This window comes from Homo sapiens, chromosome 5 (genome assembly GCF_000001405.40).
Source record: "Homo sapiens chromosome 5, GRCh38.p14 Primary Assembly".
NCBI classification, from domain to species: domain Eukaryota; kingdom Metazoa; phylum Chordata; class Mammalia; order Primates; family Hominidae; genus Homo; species Homo sapiens.
In genome coordinates, this window is record NC_000005.10 from 151,276,358 (window position 1) to 151,304,022 (window position 27,665).

General features: G+C 42.8%; 1 protein-coding gene across 7 annotated transcripts, besides 1 other annotated feature; it reads right to left on the minus strand.

Moving 5' to 3' along the window:
• On the minus strand, positions 1 to 27,409 carry SLC36A3 (solute carrier family 36 member 3). Of its 7 annotated transcripts, NM_001145017.2 has the most exons (11): positions 26,870 to 27,409; positions 22,236 to 22,326; positions 19,823 to 19,911; positions 17,007 to 17,102; positions 12,577 to 12,699; positions 12,029 to 12,113; positions 10,889 to 11,107; positions 8,256 to 8,354; positions 7,687 to 7,853; positions 4,657 to 4,826; positions 1 to 1,304 (listed from the first exon to the last, which is right to left on the minus strand). In NM_001145017.2, exons 1-11 carry the CDS (start codon positions 26,995 to 26,997, stop codon positions 1,036 to 1,038), a joined length of 1,536 nt encoding a protein of 511 aa, NP_001138489.1. In that variant the 5' UTR covers positions 26,998 to 27,409; the 3' UTR covers positions 1 to 1,035. The 7 variants fall into 7 exon arrangements, with proteins under 7 accessions (NP_001138489.1, XP_011535929.1, NP_861439.3 ...); XM_011537627.4 differs by lacking the exon at positions 12,577 to 12,699 and having other exon boundaries at positions 10,967 to 11,107; NM_181774.4 differs by lacking the exon at positions 12,577 to 12,699.
• Positions 12,086 to 12,155: an enhancer, noted in NCBI's record as "active region_23456". NCBI's record gives its function as "activates an Ori minimal core promoter by ATAC-STARR-seq in GM12878 lymphoblastoid cells {active_cell/tissue: GM12878}" and the evidence as "EXISTENCE:reporter gene assay evidence [ECO:0000049][PMID:35858748]".
• Positions 27,410 to 27,665: the final 256 nt, after the last annotated feature.

The window sequence follows — 27,665 nt, forward strand, 5'->3', positions numbered from 1 at the left end:
TTTTTTTGGTCTGGATTTTGTCATTCAGCATATTTATTTTAAGATTCATACATTTTATTGTGTATTTCAACAGTTTGTTTCTGTTCCTTGCTGAGGAATATTCCATTGTATGGCTACATCACAATTTATTTATCCATTCTCTTGTTTATAGACATTTAGAGTATTTCCAACTTCTTTGCTTTTATAAGTAAAGTTACCATGAATATTTTTGTACAAGTCTTTTTATGGATATATATTTCTTTTTTCTGGAGTGGAATAGTTGGATCATATGGTAGGTATATGTTTAAGTTTTAAAGAAACTACAAGATGTTTATCAAACTGATTGTACTACTTTCTATCCACATAGCAGGGTATGGAGTTTCAGTTACTCCACCTCCTCACCAACACTAGCATGGCCAGTTTTTGTGGTTGGTGGATAAGTTAATTTCTTTTATTCACTTTCAGAATATCAGAGTTGACAGAGTCCTTAATAATCAGTTAGTCCAACTGTTCACTTCATAGACTGAGAGATGGGGAGGAACTTGCCTGAGGGCCAGTAGGAAATCAGTGGCGGAGCCAGTGGTTGGACAAAATTACTGCTGAGTTCTGTTTTTGTTCTGTCTATGACTCTTCTACTTAGAATATCTAAATAGAAAACTCCCTTCGCCCAACATACACTTTTCTAAATCTGATGCTTTAAGGGCAGCTACTGCAGTGTAGAGAAAACAGTTACTTTTGTATTTATGCTTGGTCTCTGTTTCAAGGGCTATTGGGGTAAGTGGCATCCCTTTTCCATAAAATGAGGCTGATAATATGAATAGTTGAATCTAATTTTGGTTCAGAGGTACAAAAGGCCATCCAAAAAATATAAAACCAAAAGAGGTGTAGCCTGAGAGACATCAGTGCTAACTTTTCTCATCTGCATTTCTCTTGGAAAGATAAAGACGCCACTAATTAATATAGAGATGTTGGGATTTGATGAAGGTATATAACATCCACATGGAAGTCAAACTGGGGATGGGAGGAAGGGAGAGCTATTAGAATAAAAACAGATAATTATGCATGGACACCTGTGGAGTTGGCCATGGAATGGCTGATGGGTTGGGGCAACTCATAGAGGGCTTGGTATGTCCCAAATATACACCCTAAAAGGCCCACGATGCTAATCATGATGTCCTTGGCAATGGTGACACAGCTCATGTCCTCAGAGTAAAAGATGACGATCTCCAGGAGGGCTGGGATGATGAGAGCCAGGGCGCTGCTGCTCACGGAGCCTACCAGGGAGATGACCAAGTCCAGGCGGGGGATGAGGATGGCTGAGACACCTGCAATGAAAGGAGATATTTAGAATCACTGAATGTGCTCAGAAACAAGCCATTGCTTTGGAGCCCTAGAATTTCACAGACACCTGAGAGACCACTTTGGAGAGGTGGGAGGGAGCCTACTGCAGGCTTGGGGAGGTCAGGCAACTCCCACCCCTGTCTTAACTAGTAATATAGATGCTCTCCTTTTATATTTTATCTACTGGATTTTTTTTTACATATAATCTTTATTGGAAGGGCTCTTCTACCACTTACCTGTTAATAACCTCCCCACTGTAGAGATGGGGAAATCTAGAGCTCTAGAAGGAACAGGACTTGTTCAAGGTCACACAGAGCTGAGATGAGAATTCACTGGGATGCCCCATCTAAGGTCCTTTTCACTCTACTATGCTGCCTCTCATGTGTAAGAAAGAACTTGATACACAGTAGATGCTCAATAAGTGCTTGACTCTTGCCCAGGCTCAGAACCAACATTTGTAGTATCTATATAATATAGCCTTTGTCTAGAAGCAAGGATGGATAAAAAAATGGGAGATGCTTCTGCTGCTGTCCGAATATCAGCCACTTATTTTTCTATTCTTAATAGGATCTTAGTAATGAAGCAGGCCATAAAACACAAAGACAGCATTAAGCTATCCAACCCCCATCCTTCTCTTCTCTTCACACTCCTAAAATTCCATCTCTTATACACATGATGAGCATATAGTATCACAGATTTTCCAAGGGAGTCCAATTTCAATAATGTTTGAATGAGTAAATATATAATTTATATGATTTAATTTTATGCAAATTTATTATTTTAAAACAATTATTACATTGATGTATACTATGTGTATGTAGTTTGGGGGTACATGTGATAATTCAATATGTTTATATAATTAGTAAAGATCAAATCAGTGTACTTGGGATATCCATTACTTAAAATATTCCAATCATATGATTTTCCTATGAACAAAATAGAGAAAGCCTGTTCTGGAAAGCATCCATACAAGCTTGCTGGATCTTTAAAAAAATCACCTCTTTCTGAAATTGCTCTGACACATCCAGTCCAAGCATAAGAGAGACTCATAGACTCTCATGGCTAGGAGTGCATTCTCCTTCGATGGGAGGTCCCTGTCCACAGCTTTCCTTCATCCAATGTTTAATAAGCCGCTTATAGAGAAAACTCAGCATCAGTCTTCCAGGAAAGCTCACAACGAGGAGGCAGAGAAGATACATGCAAGAAAAGCTATAATTCAAGGTGGAATGGAGAAAGGCCTTACGCTCCATTCTGGTCATGCCAGTCCTCTGCTCAGTGCCTTTCCATGGCTCTGCATGGCCCAAACTCCTCAGCACAATGACCCTTAGGACTTGGCCCTGACAAAGCTCTGACCTCATCTCTCAGCACTCTCCACTTCTCCAAAGGGGCCATAGGCAATACTTGCCTCAGGTCTGTGCACAGTCTGTTCCCTTCCCGTGGTACATTCTTCACTCCTCCGTCTATTTGCTACTTATTTAGGTCTTCACTGAAGTGTCACTCCACTGGAGAGGACTCCCTGGCTCGGCCAGGCTGAGTTATAGGACCCCCTTATGTGTAGAGTGTGTCTTCTACTTACGATCTTAACCATCATATGGTGCATTATCATGTCCCATCTTAACAATCATTGCAATGCACTGTAATTATTTCCTTGCATATATTTGCCACTCAACTGTAGGTCCTGTGAAGGCAGAAGCTACATCTTCTTCATTATTCATCATTGTATCCCTTGTGTCTAGCACAATGCCAGGTATGTAGTAGGTGCTCAACAAATGATTGTTGAATGAATAAAGGGTAAAGGGTAATAGAATTGATGGATGAATAATGGATGAAGAATGGGACTTTCAGCATATATCAAAAGCAGGACATGTCATTATAAGGTCAACTGTCTCTAGTCATGCATTCCCTGATACTCAGAGGCTCCTCAGTCTTTCTTGTCAACTTACACCCTTCCTAGTAGGAATGATCACAAACAATACTATTTACAGCTTCCTGATGTCTCAGCACAGACTGGGAACTCTAACACCTCAAACCAAGTAGGATTTTGCTGTTTCTGCTCATAGAACGCCTGCCATTTAAAGCTTATTATCTGATAGTATGTTCTGCTGCACAGCTCCAAGCATTGCATAGTTTCTCCTGACCCCGTACGGAAACTTGATTCCTTCAATGACTTTAAATTCTGACTCCTGGAGCCTTGAAGACTAAATTTCTCCCTTCACTTTTACAATAATCCCACAGGTGTTTAAGGATAAATGTGGAAATTTCCTGAGACTTTGCTTCTCCAGGCAAAACATCCCTTGTTGTTTTGCTCATTCCTCATGGGTCATCGTTTGTGATCCTCCGTCTAGACATGTTCCAAAGAAAGAATTCCCCAGCCCTGTTCATGAGGTTTCCCAAACACTACAACAGTGCTCATGAGTGAGTGAATGAATGAATTGAAAGGAACAGGAAGAAAGGAAGGGAGGGAAGAGAGAAGAGTACAGCCAAAAAATGATCTCTGGCTGGGTGCATGGTTCACATCTGTAATCCCAGCACTTTGGGAGGCTGAGGCAGGCAGATCACTTGAGATCAGGATTTTGAGACCAGCTGGCAAACGTGATGAAACCCCGTCTCTACTAAAAATACAAAAATTAGCCGGGCATGGTGGCAGGTGCCTGTAATCCCAGCTACTCAGGAGGCTGAGGCAGGAGAATCTCTTGAACCTGGGAGGCAGAGGTTGCAGTGAGCCGAGATAGCACCACTGCACTCCAGTCTGGGCAACAGAGCGAGACTCTGTCTCAAATAAATAAATAAATAAATAATCTCCAAGACTGACAAATCAGTCCCACTGGGATTTTTCCCTACAGTTAAATCTCACTTTATGATACAGGACTTGTTCATAATTTATGATAAGAAGAAATATGGCACCATGAAAAACAGTTGTTACACAATCTGTGTTCAAATCCCAGCTTTGTCACTTAGTGTGTATGACTCAGGTGTGTTACTTAATTTATCTGGGCCACAGTTCCCTCTAATGGTAATACATTGTTAGGCTATCATCAGTATTGGATAATGTCAGTACGGTGCCTGACATATAGGATTGAATGAATGATACTTCTTCTACAAACCAGCCAGCATCTATTTTCTATGTGTAGGCAGTAGAGACGACTATAACATTTACTGTGTGGTAATTCTGTTAAGCCCTTTTTTTTCACGTGGAAAAATTGAGGTCCAGGGAGGTGAAATATCCCACCCTAGGTCACAAAGAAGGCAAGTGGCAGATCCAATGATGGTGGGGTGGGCGCCAGCGTGGCTCCCTGTCATAGCTTTGGGTAAAGAGTGCCCTTTTATGCTACTCACAGGTTAGACAGACCAAGGCTGAGCGGACAGACAGGTCTACAAACAGTGCCCAGCTCTCTGACACTTGGGAGATGGCAAACGGGATGATGATCTCAGCTGGGACGTGGAACTGGAGGGCATAGGTGAAGAAGATGCCGATAGAGTACATCAGCTTGACTGACTGGTACAACCTGCAGACACATGAATTGGATGTGAAAGGTGATGTGGCTCCCCGGAAGGGCCATTGAGGACTCACTTACTGCTCAGAAGCTGGTATGGGTTGAGTATCCCTAATCCAAAACAAAATCTGAAATGCTTCAAAATCCAAAACACTTCTGGTCCCAAGCATTTTGGATAAGGGTTACTCAATCTGTACTTTTCACTGAATTATAGAACTGGCTAATGTTAGATGATTCAGGCCAGATTGGACATCAGGGCCATCCGGGAAGCTTATTAAAAGTGCTTATTGCTGAAGATTCTGAGTCAGTAGGCCTGCAGCTCAGGAATGTATGCCTCTTCTTTTTTAATTTTTTAAAAGACAATAGCCGGGCGTGGTGGCTCACGCTTGTAATCGCAGCAGTTTGAGAGGCCGAGGCGAGTGGATCACCTGAGGTCAGGAGTTCGACACCAGCCTGACCAATATGGTGAAAGCTCGTCTCTAATAAAAATACAAAAATTAGCTGGGCGTGGTGGCATGCACCTGTAGTCCCAGCTACTCGGGAGGCTGAGACAGGAGAATTGCTTGAACCCAGGAGGTGGAGGTTGCAGTGAGCCGAAATTGCACCACTGCACTCACTCCAGCCTGGGCAACAGAGTGAGACTCCATCTCAAACAAACAAACAAAAAAGACAATATATGCATAGAGTAAAATTCATGGTACAAAAGTCATACAGTGAAAAGCATTCTTCCCACCCTTGATTCCTAGCTTCTAGTTTCCCTTTCCATAGGCAACCATTCAGAGTTTTCTTGTGGCCCTTCTAGAAATGATTGGTGTTTGTACATGCTCATACAGAATGTAGGAACATACATGCATATCCACACACACACATGCATACACATATGCACATACACATGTAGACTCCTCTTTTATTTACCCAATATTTCTTTTCTTTTTCTTTGTTTTTTTTTTTTTTTTTTTTTTTTTTGAGACGGAGTTTCGCTTTTATTGCCCAGGCTGGAGTGCAATGGTATGATCTCACTTGATCTTAGCCAAAAGGCTGAGAAGCGATGCAACGGTACGATCTCAGCTCACCACAACTTCCGCCTCCTGGATTCAAGCAATTCTCTTGCCTCAGCCTCCCGAGTAGCTGGGATTACAGGCATGCACCACCATGTCCAGCTAATTTTATATTTTTAGTAGAGACGGGGTTTCTCTATGTTGGTCTGGCTGGTCGCGAACTCCCAACCTCAGGTGATACGCCCTCCTCGGCCTCCCAAAGTGCCGGGATTATAGGCATGAGCCACCACGCCTGGCTGTCTCACCCAGTATGTCTTAAAGATTGTTCCCTGCCAGTACACATAGATCTGGCTCTTCTATTTAATAGCTGGTTGATATGTCAATTGCATGGATATGCAATCATTTTAAAAATCAGTCACCAATTAATGAATATTTAGATTGGGCTTAGACTTTTCCCAAGTAAACAATACTGCACAGACTATCCTTGTACATATATTAATGCACATATAATATAAAAACTTAGAAGTTAAAATGCTGGGTAAAAGTCTACATGATTTAAAATTTTAATAGCTGTTGACATATTGCCCATTTGCTGTCCTAGTGTATAAAAAGACCTGCTTTCCCATGTCCTTGCCTAAACAGTGTGTCGATGCATGCATCTTTGCCCTTGTATTTATTTTTTAACTCACATTTCTATTATCTTTCTTTCTTTCTTTCTTTTTTTTTTTTTTTGAGACTGAGTCTCGCTTTTGTCACCTAGGCTGGAATGCAATGGCGTGATCTCGGCTCACTGCAACCTCTGCCTCACAGGCTCAAGCAATTCTTCTGCCTCAGCCTCCTGAGTAGCTGGGATTACAGGCTCACACCACCACGCCCAGCTAATTTTGATATTTTTTAGCAGAGATGGGGTTTTGCCATGTTGGCCAGGCTGGTCTCGAACTCCTGACCTCAGGTGATCCACCCGCCTCAGCCTCCCAAAGAGCTGGGATTACAGGCATGAGCCACTGCCCCTGGCCTTCTACTATCTTTCTGAGCATCTCTTTATCTGGCCATCTGGCCATTTTTTTTTATTTGCCTGTGAAATACCTGTTCTGCCCTTTGCCCATTTCTCATTGGGTGGTTGGTCTTTTTCTTATTGGGAAGGGATATTTGTTTAAGGCTTTCCTGGAGAACCTGATGACTAGTGAGGTTCACACCAGCAGGTGTGAAGTCCTGATGGAGCTCAACACCCATGTTTTCTAGCTGAGGTCCCAGGAAGGAAAGTGCCCTGTCCAAGGCAGCTAGTGACAGCCCAAATTGCCCAGAACAAGAACAGCATATTAGGATGATATCTTGAGTAAAATAAGGCACAACTTCAAAGAAACTCCACATTTATTGTCTCATCTAGTCATTATCATAACACAGCAAGGTGGGTGGGGATGGTTACATTTTTCTCATTCTACAGCTCTGGATTTGTGGGAAATAAATGCACCATCATCCTACTCACCTTGGAAAAATGAAGGCTGTGGGGATGCATAACAATGATAATAGCTAACGCTCATGAATGCTTACCACGTGCTAAGCACTTTTCTAAGCATTATCTATGTATTAATCCAATTAATCCCCACGGTCACTGCATCAGGTAGCACAGCAGTTATTTGTGCTGTTCACCAAATACTTCCAGGCACATGGCAGAATTGCACTTCCCTGCCCCCTTGGAGTGAGGTGCGGCCATGTGGCTTGCTTTGACTGATGCAGTGTGAGCAGGAGAGACATATGTCACTTCCAGTGATGGATTACCAGCTTCATGGCTCAGCTTTGCTGTGCTCTCTGCTATGACAACCAGAACAGTTCCAGTGTCTCTCCCTATCTCACCTGAGGTGGGCAGGACATACCAGCAATTGGGCAAGTTGAGGGTGATGCTGGCCTGGGTGTCTGACCCAAACTTCATGTAGCCCAGTGTCCCCAGTAAGATATAGAGGATGATGACAATGGACATCCCCAAGTACAGAACAAAAGAAAACTGCTGTGGATGCTTCATCTGGTTTTTGAGAGGCAGAACCTGGAGGGAAAAAAAAAAGTTGGGAAAGAAAAGGTAGAAAGAGATGTGGCCCATTGTGAAGGAGAGGGTTCCCGTACAAGCACAAATGTCCTTCCCCAGGTGGGCCCAGTATCAGAAAGGGGACTCTCCACATGGCCACACTCCTTTCATTTTCTCTCATGCTTTCTATTGTCAGGAATGCCCTACTTAGTCTTGGTTGATTAGTAAATTCTCAGTCTTCAATGCTTAGCGTGGTATATTAGAGCAGTAGGGACCCTGTATGTGGGTACAGACTTTCCCTTCACCAGGAGAAGATCAGAGTCTGCACCTTTTCATAAATACTATTTATTCAGACATCTGCAACTACAGTTGGCCACTGTAGAGGGCGCTAGGGACCATTCGCGTGAACCCCATCAATCTTACCATACCGACGCCTTCAAATGTGAAGATGGCTGTACCAAAGAACAGCAAGAAGGTCTTCCAGTTTGCCATCAAGGGTAGGTTGCTGGGATATGGAATCCCCTAAAAGAAAGTGGGAGAAGCACATTGGTGTTGTTATGGTGTCGAAGTCATCCCAAATCTTTGCCTGGTAGAAAGCTGGGTCACACCTGATCTCAACAGAGAAAATCAGAAGATACCTAGACCTCAGTCAGCCTTCTAATCTTTTAAATATGATGATTTATTCATTTATATTGTGCTAAAATACACATAACATTTTACCATTTTAACTATTTTAAGTGCACAGTTCAGTAATATGAAGAACATTCACGTTGTTGTGTATCCATCACCCCTATCCATCTCCAGAACATTTTCATCACCCCAAATGGAAACTCTTTATCTATCAAATAATAACGCCCCACTACCCAGCCTCCTGGCACCCCCTGCTCTACTATCTGTCTCTATGAATTGGACTATTCTAGGTACCTCATGTAAGTGGAATCCTATCATATGTATTGTTTCTGTGCCTGGCTTATTTCATTTAGCTTTAGCGTCCTCAAGTTTCATCCACATTGTGGTATGTGTCACTGTCTCCTCACTTTTTAAGGCTGAATAATATTCCACTCTATATATAGACACCAAATCGTGTTCATCCTTTCATCACTTACTTGGACTCTTGGATTATCCCACCCTTTGGCTACTGGGAGCCCGCTCATCTCTACATGTGGAGAAAGTGGAACACAGAGGAGAGGGGAATTGCCCAAGGTCACTATGCAAGTTAGTGGCACAGCCCAGATAAGAATTCAGGTCTCCTGTTTCCCAGCCCTCTAACATGTCTCTCCCACACTTCTTTCAGGGCTGTGCAGTCCACTAGTTAGTATAGCAGCTCTCATGAATCTAGGGGGAATGATTATGTTAATAGATTTCTATGGTGGGTAGAATAATGGTTCCCCAAAGATGTTCACATCCTAATCCCCAAAAGATGAGAGTATGTTATGTTACATGGCGAGGGAGAATTAAGTTTTTAGATGGGATTAAGGTTTCCAATCAGCTGACCCTAAAACAAGGAGATGATCCTGGATTATTCGGGTGGGACAAGCATCCTTAAAAGTGGAAGAGGGAGTCAGAAGGGGAAGATCAGAGGGAAGGCAACATGAGAAAGACTTGGCTTGAGGCTGCTAGCTTTGAAGATGGAAGGCGGCCTGAGCCAAGGCACACAGACAGCCTCTACAAAGCTGGAGAAGACAAGAGAACAGATTCTCCCCTGGAATCCAGAAAGGAATGCTGCTCTGCCGCACATTAAGTTCAACCTAGCGAGACTCAAGCACTGGAAAATAAATTTGTGTTTTTTCAAGCCACTAGATTTGTGGTAATTTATCACAGCAGCAATATGAAATGAATACAACCCCAGAGACTTTCACTCAAGAAAATGAAAGTATAATGGTGGGATTTCGTGGTCTGTGATAATGGAGCATGGACATGGGAGGCAGTCTGAAATTCATGAAAGAATTACTTTATCAATTTCCTTGTCTGTAAATTGCAGATAAAGATACTATAGTTGTTCCTTGGTCTCCATGGGAGAACTAATGTTCCAGGACCTCCCGTGGATACCAAATCTGCAAATGCTCAAGTCCTTGATATAAAATGGTATAGTATTTGCATATAACCCATGCTTATGTTTTTTTGAGACGGTCTTGCTCTGTCACCCAGGCTGGAATGCAGTGGTGTGATCATAGCTTACTGTAGCCTTGACCTCATGGGCTCAGGTGATCCATCCACCTCAGCTTCCCAGGTAGCTAGGACTACAGGTGCAAGCCATCATGCCCCACTAATTTTTAAATTTTTTGTAGAGGCAGGATTTTGCTATGTTGTCCAGCTGGTCTTGAACTCCTGGGCTTAAGCAACCCTCCCACCTCAGCCTCCTCAAGTGCTGGGATTACAGGTGTGAGCCACTGTGCCTGGCCAATAGTTGTTAGACCTAGTTGTTTCTTAACTTGTATGATTTTTTATTGTTGTATATTTTTAGTGTTTTTTTCTCCCAATAGTTTCCATTTGTGATTGTTCAGATCCATGGATGTGGAAATCATGGATACAGAGTGCCAGCTTTACTTCCAAAATAGTATTGCGAAGGTTCAATAAGTTAATGTATGTAAATAATTTGGCACCAAGTAAATAAAATTCCTTTATCATCTGTATTTCTTTTGTCCATCTACCACTTTTACAATTTTTTTGGTGATTTGATTGATGTTTATCTCTCCAAGTAAATGCAGCTTCCATGAGAGCAGGCACCCTATTTATTTTTGCTGACCACTGAGTCCCTGGCCCCTTGCACAATGCCTGGATTGCAGAAGGTATTCAGTAATTATTTGTTGAATGACCCATTATTATCCAATGTGACGATGATGATGATGATGAGGATGTTGATGACAATGATGATGATAATAATTAGCTTTTACAACTTGTGGGACAGAAGTGTTCCTAGATGTCATGTTGGCAGGGGCTGCTCAGAGCAGAGGATCACCTTCCTCAGCTTCACCTGCCCATCATGATAACAAACCCTCCTCCCCAGGTGTTTCAGAGACCCAGGACCCTGATCCTTTCTTCCCTATGGCACAGACCTCCATGATATACTCAAAGATCAGAGCCATGCTCCCAAGGGTGGTGATGTTGGCCAATGTCGAGAAGACGGACAGCACCTTGAGGTTCTGGATAAACACCAACAGGATCAGGAAGGGCAGGATTATCAGCATGTAGAAACGAATGTCCAGGATGGGGGTCAGCGTCAGAATCTCCCTGGGCTGGCAGATGTTGGAGGTCACGTGGGCTTTTTCCACCATCTGACATAAAGCACAATGACAGGCAGTGTGGTTGCTACGTAAAACACAGGACACCAATTACATTTGAATTTCAGGTAATTAATGTAACTTTTTAGTATAAATATGCCCCAAATATTGCATAAGACACGCTCATAGTAAAACAAAATCACTACTTATCTGAAATTCTATCATAACTGGGTATCATATATTATTATTTGCCAAATTGGGCAACCCTGTCGGGCCCATGATTGTGACAACCAGAAACCCTTAGAATCATAAAATCTCAAGGCTTTGAGGTTGTTATCTACTCAAACCTTTTCTTCTCCACAAAATGAGTTTCTTTCATACATCCAGAGAAAGGGAATTCATCACACAAGAATATCCTCTTCAAATTTAGATAGCCCTAAAATCTGGGAAGCTCTAAATATTGGTCAGTATCCATCTGCTTGAATATTCCGTCTACAATACTTGTCACAGTTCTTTCTGGCTGTTTGGGTGCGCAAAAACAAGGATGCTCCCTCTAATCCACAAAGCCAAGAAAGAAGGCTGTGGTTGATTTGTAATGTCTGATAGGAATGCAATGAGGGGAAGGTGGCAGCTTGTTGTCCTTGTATAGTTAGACATCTTCTACATGACAACCTTGAGATACTCAAAGTAAATGTCACCAGTGTTTTTCAGGCTAACAATTATCATTGATTTCTGACTGGACATGATTGCAGGCCTCTCTTTCTACCCTGGCTAAACTCTTCAGAAGTTACTTTAGCTCGTCTATCCTTTCAAAATGTGATTCCCAGGACTGAGAGAGCTCCCAAGCGTGGTCTGATCTAGGAGTAGAAATGAAGTTCTCTCCTCCCATGAGCCTAACACAATACTTTTGCTAATGTAGCCTCAGCAGCAGGAGGTCTGCTTTTCCCCCACTCTGCCCAGAAGAGGGCTCTTTACCTGTTGTAAATTGTCTGCCATAAACATAAAATAAACACTGCAGAAGCCCAGCTGGGTGATGACTAATAAGAAGCTGACAGTGTACCTGGGAAGGAAAGGAAGAGGCAGACAGAGGGAGGAAACAAAAGCTAAAATTATTTCTTAAGAATGTTTACTATTTGAAACAATTATTTTTGTTATTATTTTTAAAAATTTCCCTACTTTCTTTTATTTTGAAAAATTTTTAAGCCAAAAAGTTGAAAGAATAGTATAATTAACATCCATGTACCCTTTAACTAAATATACCAGTTGTTAATTTTTGGCCCCAAATTGCATTACATATATATATAATATATATGTATATATAGACGAATGAATATTCGTCTATACACACACACACATACACACGCAATTTTTTTCAGAATCATTTGAAAGTCAATTGCAGGTCACTTTGGAAGGCCAAGGCAGGTGGATCGTTGAGGTCAGGAGTTCAAGACCAACCTGACTAACATGGTGAAACCCCGTCTCTACTAAAAATACAAAAATTAGCCAGGTGTGGTGGCAGGCACCTGTAAATCCCAGCTACTCGGGAGGCTTGGGCAGGAGAATTGCTTGAACCCTGAAGGTGGGGGTTGCAGTGAGCTGAGATCTTGCCACTGCACTCCAGCCTGGGTGACAGAGCCAAATTCCATCTCAAAAAAAAAAAAAAGAAAAAGTCAATTGTAGGTATCCTAATACTTAAACCCTAAATTCTTAAGACTGCAATAGCCAGAAAATCAACTTCAATATCTTCATATATATACATATATACAGTTTCTATTTTATACATATATACAGTTTCTATTTTAAATACACTCATTCATTGGTATCCAAGACCCCTTACAAATTCAAAATCTGCAGATGCTCAAGTCTCTTACATAAAAATGAGTTAGTATTATCCCAATTCTCTCTAAAGTACCTTTTGTAGTTATTTTATTTTTTAATTCAGGATCTAATGAAGGTTTGTATATTGCATTTGGCTACATCTCTAGCCAAGTGGGAGGATCACTTGAGCCCAGGAGGTTGAGGCTGCAGTGAGCCATGATCACACCACTACACTCTAGCCTGAGAAACAGAGTGAGAATCTGCCTCAAAAAAAAAAAGAAATTATTATTAATTTTGTAAGAGATGATGATGGTATGATGATTATACTTTTTAAAGTTATTATCTGTTAGAGCTACACACTGAATTATTTTATTTTATTTTATTTTTTGAGACAGAGTCTCAGTGTGTTTTCATCACACTGGCTTTGTTTGAAGAGTATAGGCCAATTGTCTTATAGAACGCCCCACATTGCGGGCTTGTATGATTGCTTCCTCGTGATTAAATTCAGGGGAGCACTTTTAGCAAGAATACTACAGAGGTGATAGTTTTGTACCTCTATTTCATCATATTGGGAGGCACATGATATCCTGTTGTTTTGCTTTGTTGGTGACTGCCAGATCTCCTATTGGAAATGTACATTTTCCCTTTGTAATCTGTGGGGTAAAACTTTGAGATGGCATGATTATCCTGTTCCTCAAACCAATGGTTTTACCACTCACTGATGTTCCTTGCTTGAATCATTGGTGGTTGCAAGGTGGTGGTTTTCTAAGTCTATGTATCATTTCTTCTAAATTTATTAGCTGGTTTTTAAGAGAGATATATTGTTTTCTCCTCTTTTTTTTGGCATCACAACAGACACATGTTAATTATTTCTAAATTTAATATCTTATACTCTGTTATTGCCATTATTCTTTTGGGTTCTTAAATTATTCCAAATTTGGAGATGCATTTTTCTAAAAGAACAAAAATATGTTCCTTTACTTAGATTATAATGTTTAGATAAGGGCTTTTCAAAATTGGCTTGTAGTATCAACCAATTTGTTGGTTGAGGCCTATGTTAAAAATACAGGCTCCTGGTTCTCATATCATCCTATTGAGTCAGAATCTTGGCAGTGTCACATGTGACTTCAGAATAATATCTTTTTCTGTCTATCTTAGGAAGATTTTCAAACATATACAAAAGCAATGAATAATTTAATGAATATAACGAGAATTTAACGAGAATAATTTCATGAATTCACATGTGCTCATCCCAGCTTCAACAATGAACTTTTTGCCACTTGTTCTCTATCTCTTCAGCCCCATCACACACATACTGAATTTGTCGGTGTATTTGTAGCAAACCAGAGACCCCAAGTTATTTCACCTGTAAATAATTCAGTATGGGCCGGGTGCAGTGGCTCACGCCTGTAATCCCACCACTTTGCAAGGCCGAGGCGGGCGGATCACGAGGTCAGGAGATCGAGACCATCCTGGCTAACACGGTGAAACCCCATCTCTACTAAAAATACAAAAAATTAGCCGGGCATGGTGGCGGGCGCCTGTAGTCCCAGCTACTCAGGAGGCTGAGGCAGGAGAATGGCATGAACCCGGGAGGTGGAGCTTGCAGTGAGCCGAGATCGCGCCACTGCACTCCAGACTCTGTCTCAAAATAATAATAATAATAATAATAATTCAGTATGTAGCTGTAATAGATAATAACTTTAAAAAGTATAATCATCATACCATCATCATGTCTTACAAAATTAACAATAATTTCTTTTTTTTTTTTTGAGACAGATTCTCGCTCTGTTTCCCAGGCTAGAGTGTAGTGGTGCAGTCATGGCTCACTGCAGCCTCAACCTCCTGGGCTCAAGTGATCCTCCCACCTCAGCCTCCTGAGTAGCTGGATCCACAGGTGTGTGCTACCAGGCCTGGCTATTTAAAAAAAATTTTTGTGGAGATGGGGTCCCACCATTTTGCCTAGGCTGTCTTGACACCTGGTCTCAAGAGATCCTCCCACCTTGACCTCTCAAGGTGTTGGGATTACAGGCATGAGCCATTGTGCTTGGCCAATAATTTCTTTATACCATCTAATATTCAGTCCATATTCAGATTTCTCCAATTCTCTCAAAAATATCTGTCTTACAGTTGGTTTCCAAACAAGTCTACACATTGTATTTTGTTAAGTCTCTTAAGTTTTTTAAACTGCTACATTCCCCTTGCCCTGTTTATTTTTTCCTTGCAACTTTTAATTTTTTGTTTGCTGCTGAAGATACCAGATCATTTGTCCTGTAGTATATCCTATTTTTTCTATTTGGTTGGTGACTTCCTCATGATGCTATTTATCTTGTTCCTCTATCCCCCGTGCTTCCTATAAATGGATATTAGATCTAGTGGCTTGAATAAATGGAGGTTTCAAATTTATTTTTGAAATATCAGAGGTGGTACTACTCTGTACTCCCTACTGTGGGCTATTATGAGACACACATAGCTAGCTGTCATGTATATAAATATGAGATGCTAAGATGAGTACATGGGGTCAGGTAGCATCAGTGCATTCTCCCTTTATAAAGCTTCCCAGTGACCATTCCTCTAACAGCTTGAGCATCCATTAATGACCATTGCCTCCATGGAATGGGCAGCTTTTGTTTGTTTGTTTGTTTGTTTTGAGATGGAGTCTCACTCTGTCACCCAGGCTGGAGTGCAATGGTGCGATCTCGGCTCACTGCAACCTCTGCCTCCTGAGTTCAAGCGATTCTCCTGCCTCAGTCTCCTGAGTAGCTGGGATTACAGGCACCCACCACCAAGCCTGGCTAATTTTCATATTTTTAGTAGAGACAGGGTTACGCCATGTTGGTCAGGCTGGTCTCAAACTCCTGACCTCAGGTGATCCACCCACCTCAGCCTCCCAAAGTGCTGGGATTACAGGCGTGAGCCACCACACATGGCCAAGGAATGGGCAGTTTTTAATCAAGCTCCTCAGGTATCTCTCAGTAAATTAAAGATGACAAATTATTACTTTAAATATTTTTTAAATGTTTCTAACTCTTTCTCATGACCTCATCTAATCATTAGAGTGGCTCCTGATCAGGAGATCAATGACCTACTGAGAATCCCAAGAGAGGAGCTGCAAAGGAATCTTAGCAGCCACAATTTGACTCACTACCTCCTGAGGGACTTTGCTGGGGAAGGCTCCAATGTTAGGTTCTTGGTCAAATCTCTGCTCCACCCATATCAATGTCCATGCCTTTGGATATGTTATTTTATCTTTATAAGCCTCATATTTCCAGGGCAATAAAAACCCACCCTGCCTACCTCACAAGGCTGTTGAGAGGAACAGAGGAACTAAGACAGAGAAAACCATTTTGTACACCGTTAACTTTTTATCAAGGCAGGGAACAACCTGAATGTTCACCTTAGGGGAATAAGCAAATGAAACGGATATACATCCACACTAGGGAACACTGTGAGCCTTAAAAAATAATGAGGTAGGCTGGGCGAGGTGGTTCACACCTATAATCCCAGCACTTTGGGAGGCCGAGGCAGGCGGGTCATCTGAGGTCAGGAGTTCAGGGCCAGCCTGGCCAACATGGTGAAACCCTGTCTCTACTAAAAACACAAAAATTAACCAGGCGTGGTGGTGGGCGCCTGTAATCCCAGCTACTCAGGAGGCTGAGGAAGGAGAGCTGCTTGAACCCAGGAGGCGGAGGTTGCAGTGAGCTGAGGTCACGCCATTGCACTCCAGCCTGAGCAACAAGAGTGAAACTCTGTCCCTCCCCCCCCAAAAATGAGGTTCATTTATATGTTCCAACATGAAAAAATAGGGATATATTGTTAGATGAAAAATCAAATTTTCAGAAATTATCCTAAGTAATGTATAAGAAAATAGAAAGCAAATTATGTACTTCCATTCACACACATATATTGATGTACATGTAGAGAAAAAAAGTCTAAAGGAATATTTACTAACTAGGTTTCAATGATTACCTTATGGGTACAGAGTGAGATGGGGGATGGGGTTATCGAGGTGATTCTCTCTATTGTTTGATAGTTTACAATAAGAGCATATTCATTTAAAACCTGTGTAAGTAGAAATAAAGAAAAGTGATATGATGATTTTTGTTGTTACTACTACAACATCTGTGACTACTACCTTCCCCACACTGCATGGGCCCTCAGCCAGGTGTTCGGGCAGGTTTCAAGGCCGTACATCGTGGCCTCTCCATAGTTCACAAAAGTCTTCTGCAGTCTAGGGGGAAAGAACAAACAATGCATAATTTAAAACATTTTTGTTAAAGGTACAGTTTTCTCCCAAAGTGAGTGATTTTTATGTATTTGTGTGTGAGCATGAAGCCTTCTGTCAATTTTCTCCCAGTGATCTACTTTATACTTTAACAACTTTCAGGAGTTTGCCTTTTTTTCTTTTTTTGCAATTATCCCTTTAAGCACAAATATTTAACTGACTATCATTGGATTTATTCTTCTTGAGTAAGCGGTAGCTGTGCATTGACGTAGATCTGCAAAGCAGGAAAGGGGATATGGAGGGGGAGAGGAGGAGGGAGGGGAAGAGGTGGTGTGGGTGTGGCCAGGCCAGTGATTCCCTCCTTCCCATTGCTGATGGTGTCAGAACACTCGAGATCCTGGCCTGGGCCAGACCCCTCACAAAGGTGATACTCGGGATCCTGCCCAGCCCCCTGTAGGATGTGATGCCCAAGTTCCAGCCTATTCCTCTTGCCATGTCCCTCTTTCTCAACCCTTTTAAGGGTGGAGCAGGCCCTGCTGCAGAAACACCTTTGGCTGGAGCAAGTGGAAACAGCAGCAGGTTGCCCAGATCCTGGAAGCACGGCATAAATTGCAGGACTGAGGGGAACAGGTGGGAGAGAGGAAGGGCTCCAGCCTTCTTCAGATACCAGAGTTTAAATCCCAACATGACCCTCAGGTAGCCAGACATGTAGAGCCAGTCTCTTGAGATCTCTGGGCCCCAGTTTTCTTCACATGCAGTCTGGATTTTGGGGGAAGAGACAGTGAGAGACGGATATAGAGATGTGCTGGAACATGACATTTTTGTTACTGCTCACCGTGATAGGCATTTTCAATACAAATGAAGTCACCTTGCATAGAACTGGCAAGGATATGAATCTGAGGGTTGCAAATTCAGAAGCTATGGGATCAGACAGGTACTGGTGATCTGGTGGGTGACAGGGGCTGAGTATAAGAGACAGTAGGGAACATTGGAGACTGTGGCAAACCAGAATAACACATCCCATTGTAAAAGGGATTGCTCAGGAGTTGCCTCTAGAAGCACATCTAAAAAATGAAGGCTCAGAAGCAGTCGGTTGTCTAACTGATTAAGAAGGCAGAGATTTTTTTGTTTTGTGAATGTGAATGTGAAATCTCCAATTCACATTTTGTGAATGTGAATTTTTTTTTTTTTTGAGACAGAGTTTTCACTCTAGTTGCCCAGGCTGGAGTGCAAGGGTGCGATCTCGGCTCACCAAAACCTCCGCCTCCCGGGTTCAAGCGATTCTCCTGCCTCAGCCTCCCGAGTAGCTGGGATTACAGGCATGCACCACCACGCCTGGCTAATTTTGTATTTTTAGTAGAGATGGGGTTTCTGTATGTTGGTCAGGCTGGTCTCGAACTCCTGACCTCAGGTGGTCTGCCTGCCTCGGCCTCCTGAATTGCTGGGATTATAGGTGTGAGCCACTGCACCCGGCCGAAATCTCCAGGGTTTAAACATTGACTAAAAAATAAAACTGTGAAGTCCCCCAAAACATAACTGAAGGCCATAGCCAACTCTCAGGCCATCACTCTGCAACCTCTATATTAGAAAAAATAAAAGACAAGTCATCAGAGAAAAAAAAAAAATCAGAGAAAGGCTTTCAGAAATGGCCTGATGTCAGAAGCTTATCTGGTGATATAATGATCCCAGAAGGCTTGAGGGAAGAGAAGATTTGCAAAATGGTTAACAGTGGAGTCACAGTAGGTCTTTGAATACTGGCTCTGCCACTTCCCAGCTATATGACCCTGGGCAAGGCATTTAAACCTCAGTTTACTCATCTGTAAAATGGGAATAAAAATAGTGCCTATCATAGACTTACTGTGAGGAGTAAACAAGGCTTGCAAGGCTCTTGGCACGATAACCGCAGTGTAATTGCACAATACATTTAACTACGGAATGAGTAAATGCTCTTAAAAGCGTTTTGTGAGCAGGAAAGTGCTCTGAGAGTTAGGTGTGACTGATATGTACTCCAGGTACACCTATTTGGGTTATGATAATTAGGCTTTATGGAGAGTTTTGTTTACCGTCCCTACTTTGACTTTTGAGACCTTTCTTCACATTTACGAGGACCTATTTGGTTTTGCATGCCTTGGGAGTAGCTGAGCGCTGTGGATCTCTGCATTCTTTGTTTTTACTGCATTTGTCTTTTCTTTCTGAAATTGTTTTTGCATTAAAGTTTCAAATACATAAACATTGATTATTATAAGTATGCTTTGATAATGACTGAAATCATTGTGAAGACTTCTTTTCAGTAAGTATGCTTTTTACTTTTACTAACATTGCATGGACCAAATTACCCTGACAAGGTGTGGGTATTGGAGTGGGAGAAGGTTGGGGATGGAGAGGCTAAAAGGAAGAGAAGAAAGTCTCTGTCTCAAATAAATAGAGTAATTTATATAGTGCTTTTGCATCTTTTATCACTTTCGATGCTTTCAGTTAAGGAGATCTGGGCTCAGGGGGATGCAGGAATTTGACAGTCATCCAGCTTGTTAGCAGCAGCGTTGGATCTGTGCCTAGAGTCTCTAACTGGGACTCTCTGTCATGCTCTCCTTGCCTTCATAGAATCCAGATTGGTAGGAAGGTGGCCTGGAGCAGTGGCCGAATTAATTGGGTCAGTGGTCAAAAGAAGAGCAACACACCCTCAGAGGGGCCCCAGTGCTGGAATGAGAGAGAAGCAGGCCTCTGACCTCTGGCTGAGGTGTTGAGCACAGTTCAACAGGATGACCATGCAGTGCACGGTGAGGACCCCGATGGCCAGAAGGCTGACAGGACCGACCTGGAGGGGAGAGGAGAAAGGGGGAAGTGAGCCAGAAATGATCACTCCCATTCCCTGGCCCTCTCACAGTCTGCGTGCTGGGGCCTGTTGCATAATAAAACTGTCTTTGGGGTGACAGACCCAGCCTGAATGTCCTCATGCTCCCAGATGCTAGAATTTGAATGCTCTTCTTAGCATCCCTGTAGAGTGGCTGCCCAACTTCTGCTAGGATACTTCCAGTGACAGAGAGCTCATTACCTTCCCACATAGCCCATGCATTTTCTCATTTTCCTTGAGTTCTACCAGTTTAGAGTCCCTTGTGGTAAATTTATTTTGTCTGACACACCCTGGCCCTCACTTCCTCCAAGATGATTGAGGGCCAAGGTGTTCTTATGACTCAGTTCTCTTCCTCTAGTACAGAGTTTATCAACAGGTGCCCTATTGACATTTTGGGGCAGATAATTATTTGTTATCAGGAGCTGTCTTTTGCATTATAGGATGTTTAGCAGCTTTCCCGAGCCTCTACCCACTAGGTGTCAGAGACTCTTCCCCCAGATTGTGGCAACCAAAAATGTCTGTAGAGATTGTAAAGGTCTTTGGCTAGGGTAGCAGGAGCTGGTGCAAAATGATCCCAAGTTGGGGATCACTACTGTAGTGTGTCTAATTTGTCAAATTCCTTTTAAAAAGTGGGGCTGATTACTAATTATATCTTCCAGAGGTGATCAGAAGGGTATAAACGGGGACCCTCTCACATCCTTTGTTCTGAACACTTGTGTCTTTATAGATGTGACCTATCACAAAGACATAAATGAGGGATCAAGAGCACCACTAGACTCCACTGGAATGCAGGCTTCATGCAGCAGAGACTCTCGTGTCTTGTTTGCTTCTATATTCCCAGGGGCTACAAATGCACAGGGTAGATAGGTGCTCAATAAATATTTCTCAAATGAATCATGGCCAGAGGTTCTGGTGGGAGATGAAAGGTAAAGAAATCATCTAATGACTCTGAGGAAGCAAATATCAAAGAATAAAAGCATTGTCTTAAAAACAAATACCACCCTGGCAAAGATAGTTTGGCTGAAGACCATGTTTTTTTGTAGAAGCTCTAGAACCCAGAGGATTCCAAAGGGGAGAGTCCAGTCTCTGGGTTGGAACCACTGAAGATCAGAAGTCATGACAGAGGCAGCAAGGGTCTCGCCTTCTTTAGACATAGAAGCCACTTACCAGGCCTGGAGATAAGAAAAGATTCACTCCAAGGAAATGGAATTATATATTTGGTATCTATTCCATTCAGTAGATGTTAATGGAAACTTGCTGTGTGCCAGTCCCTACAGAGGCTACCGTGGGGACGTGCAAAGGGAAATCAGACAGTTCTTGCCCACAGAGCTTTCAATTAAATGAGGAAGGTGGGTCTGTTAGAAAATAAATATGTCGACCGGACGAGGTGGCTCACACCTGTCATCCCAGCACCTTGCGAGGCCGAGATGGGCCAGTCACCTGAGGTCAGGAGTTTGAGACCTGCCTGGCCAACATGATGAAAACCTCTCTACAAAGAATACAAAAATTAGCTGGGCGTGGTGGCTCACACCTGTAATCCCAGCAACTCGGGAGGCTGAGGCAGGAGAATCGCTTGAACCCGGGAGGCGGAGGTTGCAGTGAGCCAAGATTGTGCCACTGCACTCCAGCCTGGGCGACAGAGCGAGACTCTGTCTCAATAAATAATAATAAATAAATAAATATCTTATCTTCGTAAGTGCTTTAAGAATCCCAGGTAAGGTAGATATAAATGGTAGAAAAATACAAAGTGAGGATGGCATTAGTGATCATAAGAAAGTGTAAAGTTTTAGAGAGGAGGCACTTTAAAAAGACAGAAATGAGGGGGCAGGAACAGCACAGGAAAAGAGAAAGAGGTAGGCTGGTGTGGGGAGAGTGGATTGGTGGGATTGATGGAGGCGTCTATCTTCATGTCCAAGACACTTTCTCATGCGCCCTCAAGTGGTTTGGAACAGGAGTCACACACTCAAATGCCTGCAGGGATTGGGCTGTTAATGCAAATGACGAAATGAGCTGCATGTGATCCTAGGAGTGGGGAGGACTGCGGGGAGAATTGTGGCAAAGTAGAGTCAGATGAGCATGGTGAGTCTTTAAGAGTAATGGTGTGCCCCCTTCAGGGATGCTCAGGTTGGACCCAGGTTGACTCCAGGGGATTGATGCCAACAGGCACATTTTCAATTGCAGAGGGTACCCCCAAATTGCCCATTGATAACAGTGTGAAGGCCTTCAGGACCTATCACCCCCTTCTGCAAATGAGCAAACCTAGTTCCCATCCCACAGATGCCTCTTACCAACAAGCCGGCATTCTTTATGGCCAGGGGAAGCCCCAGGAGCCCTGTGCCAATGTTGCATTTCAACAAGTGGATCAAAGTTTGCATCATCCTGTGGTGGGGAGAGTAGGGAGACAGAGGGTACTGTTAGTGGAAGGGAAGCATGGCCAGAAACTCAGCCTCCTTCTGGCATCTCCAGAGCGCCTGATAGGAAGAGGGGCAAAACCTGATGAGGTGGACTTGGAGACAACTCTCAGTTCTAGGGGTCTGTCCTGGAACATCTGATCTGGGGATGGTGCTAGTTCAAGTGACTCAACAAATCTTTAATACACACTAGGCTCTAAAGGAAATAAAAATTGCTACCATTCTGGATAACACTCTAGTACTGGTTGGTTCATTAATTCATCCAGTGATTTCTTTCATGAGTTATTCTCTCAAATAACATTTATTGTGACCTAATACATGTCTATCAGTTAGATAGACAATGGAAAAATTAGTAATAGTTGCCTCAGTCTACAGTGAGACATCAGGTTATTTATTAACTCACTCACTAGAAACAAAAATCTACCATATATGGGATATTTACTGGTTTTAGTTTACTCCTTCATCCATTTGTTCAACCAATATTCATTGTGAATATGAATTGCTTGTGCGCTCTCTCTCTCTCTCTCTCTCTCTCTCTCTCTCTCTCTCTATATATATATATATATATATATATATGAAATGAGCTGCATGTGATGCTAGGGAGTGGGGAGGACTGTGGGGAGAATTGTGGCAAAGTAGAGTCAGATGAGCATGGTGATATATATATATATATATATATTATATATATATGAATTGCTATATATCGACATTATGCACTGGGTAAAATTTAATAATTTAATAGCAATTGTTACTGTGCATATAGAGTACTTATGATGGTCCCAGCAGGGTGCTAGGGCCTAGGGTTCTAAATATTCTTCACACCTGTGCTGGCAGCTCCTGCCCAGGCAGCTCCAATCCTGATGTGGATTGGGTGGGAAAGGTGGGAACAGGATCATGAGAACAGAATCAAAAAGGAACTTAAATAAAAAGTACATGCGTAAGCATTGAACCCAGAGATGGGAGCACTTAATTCTGAGTTCCAGCTCTGCCGCTAACCTACTGTGTTTGGTTACTACTTTGGGAAGCCATTAGCTGCTTTGATCCTGTTTCACTGCCAAAAAAGGGAGAAAATTCTAGTTTTGCCTATGTCCCAGGGAAGCTGTAAGACTCAAAAGAGGTAACAACATGATGAATCATGGAATCATGAAGTGCTTCACAGATGTGAGCATCATCATCGTCATATCATTGTCTCATCATCATCATCATCCTCACTGCCACCTTTGGTTTGGCCTTCATGGTGCTCATTTGTTAGAAAGCGCATCCTTCAAGAGGAAGAAGAATTGGGATGATAGGAAAAAGGCAAGCATGGGCTGGTTTAAGCAAGTAGAAGTGCCCCCTCCACCCAAGAACAAAAGGGTACCTTGAAGATGCCATTGGGAGATACAGACGAAGTCTCAGGCTAAGACAGAGAATGCCCTCTTGCCACACTTAAATTGTCTGCAGGTGGCCAGGAGAGCCAAAACCAACTGCCCAAGTGAGTCCAGCAGAGACAGTGCTCACATCTCTTTGTCTTATCCATTAGAGAGTCATGGCAAGGGGCTAGGAAGAAGCTGTAACCAACCAGGTCTTTGCATTTCAATGCTGACCTGAGAGAGGGTTGGGTTGAGAGAACAGATGAACTGTTGGGGACTTCTGTGACTTCAGTCTATTGAGTGAAGTCTATTGACCTAACTTCTGTTAGGGCAGTCTATTCACCTAAGGATGGGGGGGTGGGCACCCATTGTCCCTTTACTTCCAAGAGATAACCTTTATTTCTTGATAACTGTAATTTGTCAATTCTTAAGTAGTAATTTCTCCAAAAGATGTGGTCCCATTTCCCACCCTCTGCTCTTTTTTCCTTTGTCTCTCACTTCTTTCCCATGACAGCATCGATGTCTTGCCCCTATTTGAATCAGATATTGTGGGAAAGGTGAGACAAGTTTTCGGAGGAACCACTGTGCCTTAGCTGACAGCATTTACCCATCTGGACCTTGAAGCATAAATAGATGTTGCAAGCTCCCCTGAGATTTAAAAAATTGGGTTTATATTTTTTCTCGAAAACTATACAATTGCTATTATAAAAGGAAATTCCAAAATCCCACCAATGGAAAATAACCACACATTATAATTAGCCCTCCTCTGGGCATCTTTATTTGCTCTAAATGCACCGAATTTTACATAAAGAGAACCGCTATGCATGCTGGATCCTCAACTAATTTTCTGTATGAATAAATGTGCTACACACTTTCCATGTCCATACATTTCCTCCATCACTTGTAATGACTGTATCATATTCTACTGTATGTTTGTTTCATGTGTTAACCTTTCTCTTAATGTTTCCAAGTTTTCAATATTATTGAAACTGCCTTTGCAAAATTATAACTGAGGAAATTAAGACAGCGAAAGAAATCAGACCTAACCAACTCCATCTTGCTTCTAACCTTTAAGATGTCCTTGTTTATTCCTGGACATAGGCTGAGCTAACTTTGGGAAGGAATTCATTTCATGGTTTGACTATTGGTATCACCCCTTTCCCAAAAAGACCCCCTTTTTGCCTGGGGACCATTCTGCCTTTGCAGGACTAACAAATTAGCTATAAGATTGGAAATTACAGTTTAGGGGTCATGCAGCCTCTGGCTCCAGGAGTCTAAACCTCCCCACATTGTTCCTGGGGATAACATCACATTGTAAAACCTAAGATCAGTGCTTGAGTTATTTTGCAGACCCTGCACTCTGATGGACCATCTGAAACCACCCAGACCGGTCATCTGGCTCAACCAGTTCTGCCATCCCTCCCAAGAACAGAAAACAGCAAGAAAAACTCACTTCGAGCCCCTGTGATTCCATCTCCAACCTGATCAATCAGCACTCCCCACTTCCCAAGCTCCTACCCACCAAATTATCTTTAAAAACTCTAATTCCCGAATGCTCAGGGAGACCGATTTGAGTGATAATAAAACTCCGGTCTCGAGCTTGCAGTGAGCTGAGATCGCGCCACTGCACTCCAGCCTGGGCGATAGAGCAAGACTCCGTCTAAAAAAAAAAAAAAAAAACCTCCAGTCTCTTGCACAGCAGATTCTGCATGAATTACTCTTTCTCCATTGCAATTCCCCTGTCTTGATAAATCGTCTCTGTCTAGGCAGTGGGCAAGGTGAACCCATTGAGTGGTTACATTATAACAAGTGCTTTGATAAAAATTATGCACTCTTGTGCTATTATTTCATCAGAAAAAATTCCTAGAGGGGTATTATTAATCAAAGGGTATATTTATTTATATTTCATTATACTTTAAAGAACTAGATTGTAATACTTACAGTACAAAATTCAAAAGATAAAACGCAATAATCCAAATCCTTATGAAACAAATATAAATCTCTTTTCTCTCAGCCTCCAAATTCTCTTCCCCAGAGGCAACCACTGCTGTCAGTTTTGTGTGTGTGCACGAGTTGTATACTTTCAGACAGCATTTGCCAAATAAATATTTGTATGTTTTATACAAATGACATTTTACGATTTGACCTGTAACATTGCCATCTAGAAAGATACCAATTTAATTCTTCCCAAAAGATGAGAGAGGGCATTTCCTGATATCCTTATCAACACTGGGGATTGTCATCGATAATCTCTTTGTGCCCACAGTTGTTACCGATCTGATGATTACCAGATAGCAGTGTGATTGACAGTAAGTCCTAGAAGAAGAGTTCTGTTGAAATCATGTCCTTTGCAGGGACATGGATGGAGCCGGAAGCCAGTATACTCCGCAAACTAACAAAGGAACAGAAAACCAAACACTGCATGTTCTCACTTGTAAGTGGGAGCTGAACAATGAGAACACATGGACACAGGGAGGAGAACAAGACAAACACTGGGGCTGGTTGGGGGTGGGGGGCAGGGGATGGGAGAGCATCAGGATAAATAGCTAAGGTATATGGGGCTTAATACCTAGGTGATGGGTTGATAGGTACAGCAAAACCACTATGACACACGTTTACCTATGTAACAAACCCGCATGTCCTGTACATGTATCCTGGAACTTAAAATTAAATTAAATTTAATTTAATTAAAAAAAAAGAGAGAAGAGTTCCATGTGTCTGAGTTTGGGGCAGTAAAGGTGGAGACATGGGGTTAGCACCTTTTGTTTTCTGGATGGATGGCATGGGGGGTTGGGGAGAAGAGGCAGAGAGAATAATGGCAGATGTGTGAGGAGAAGAAGGCAGCCAGAGACTGTGGAAGAAAGAAAGGGAGGAAGGAAAGGGCAGACAGCCTGAGATAGGAAACTGTTCCTGGAGACAAGCTGCTCATGTTGAGGGTGGCTGCTCTAGCTGGGTTCTTCGTAAAAACTGGGAAACAGGGCTAGTAGCCAGAGCCACAGGGATTGACCTCCTTAGATTCTGAAGGTTTCATCTTTTATCCACGCATATCGTGTTAATGGAATAAGCGTGTTAAGGAGATAGATGAAGGAAGACATAGTCCAGAGTTGCAAAAACAGCAGTGCTTGACCTCAGGCCTGGAAGGGCGGTGCGGCCACTTACGATAGTCCAGCTTCTCCAGCAGGATGGACATTCTCTGAAGTAATGCTACTGCTGCTCTCTGAGGGTGACTGAGGTCCGTTGTCCAAGGAGTTCAGCTCACTGTTGTAGTCCCTTCCAAGCAATGACATCTTCAACACGGTGGGTAGGTGGCAGAGGCTCAGGGTTAAGGCTCTGAATGAGCCTCTGATGGGTCTTTCTCCAGAGAAACCATGGCTGCTGACCTGAGATGCTGGCTCCTAACCCCAAGGATGCGTGCTGCTGGCTGAAGCCTGAAGTGCATGAATCAGGGAAGCGGTGGTGGCAGGAGAGGCTGATGTTGATGATGCCTCACCTGGCTCTTGGGGGACTTATGAAAGACCCATCTCAGTCAGGATGGTCCTCAGTTTCACTCGCAATTGCTTGCCCAACCAGGACTTGCCTGGGCTTTTGGCCTCTCCTAGTTTAGCCCTTGCTGCTGTAGGGCAAAGTGAACAGTGTGACTGGGAGGAAGAAGACACCATTGGATTGGAGGTCCTGGTGCCTGGACGTGGGGCCAGGCTCAGTGCTTGTCTGTCTTTGGCAAGGAAAAAACCAGAGCTACCTCACAATGGAGGCTGCCCAGCCAATGAGCTGCAGCAGAATCCTGGGATGCAGATGTGGCCCAACAGAACATAATCCAGCTACCATGTTCCCTGTTTGGGGTGAAGAGTGGCTTGTAAGGCCCAGTTCAAATGCCACCTGCTCAGAATTTCTATACAGGAGGCGTATGGCCTGCCAGTGATTTGGAAGGGAGTGCAGGTCATGTTTAAAAAAAATC

Bases quoted from the DNA above. Each gene is read 5' to 3' on its own strand.
- SLC36A3 (NM_001145017.2), bottom strand. From the start codon at position 26,997: ATGTCATTGCTTGGAAGGGACTACAACAGTGAGCTGAACTCCTTGGAC. The intron at 17,103-19,822 runs GTCAGAGGCCTG...CTTTCCCCCTAG, and splicing joins GCTCAACACCTCAGCCAGAG to ACTGCAGAAGACTTTTGTGA. The intron at 12,700-17,006 runs GTAGTAGTCACA...TTTTTTTTTGAG, and splicing joins GCCCATGCAGTGTGGGGAAG to ATGGAATTTGGCTCTGTCAC.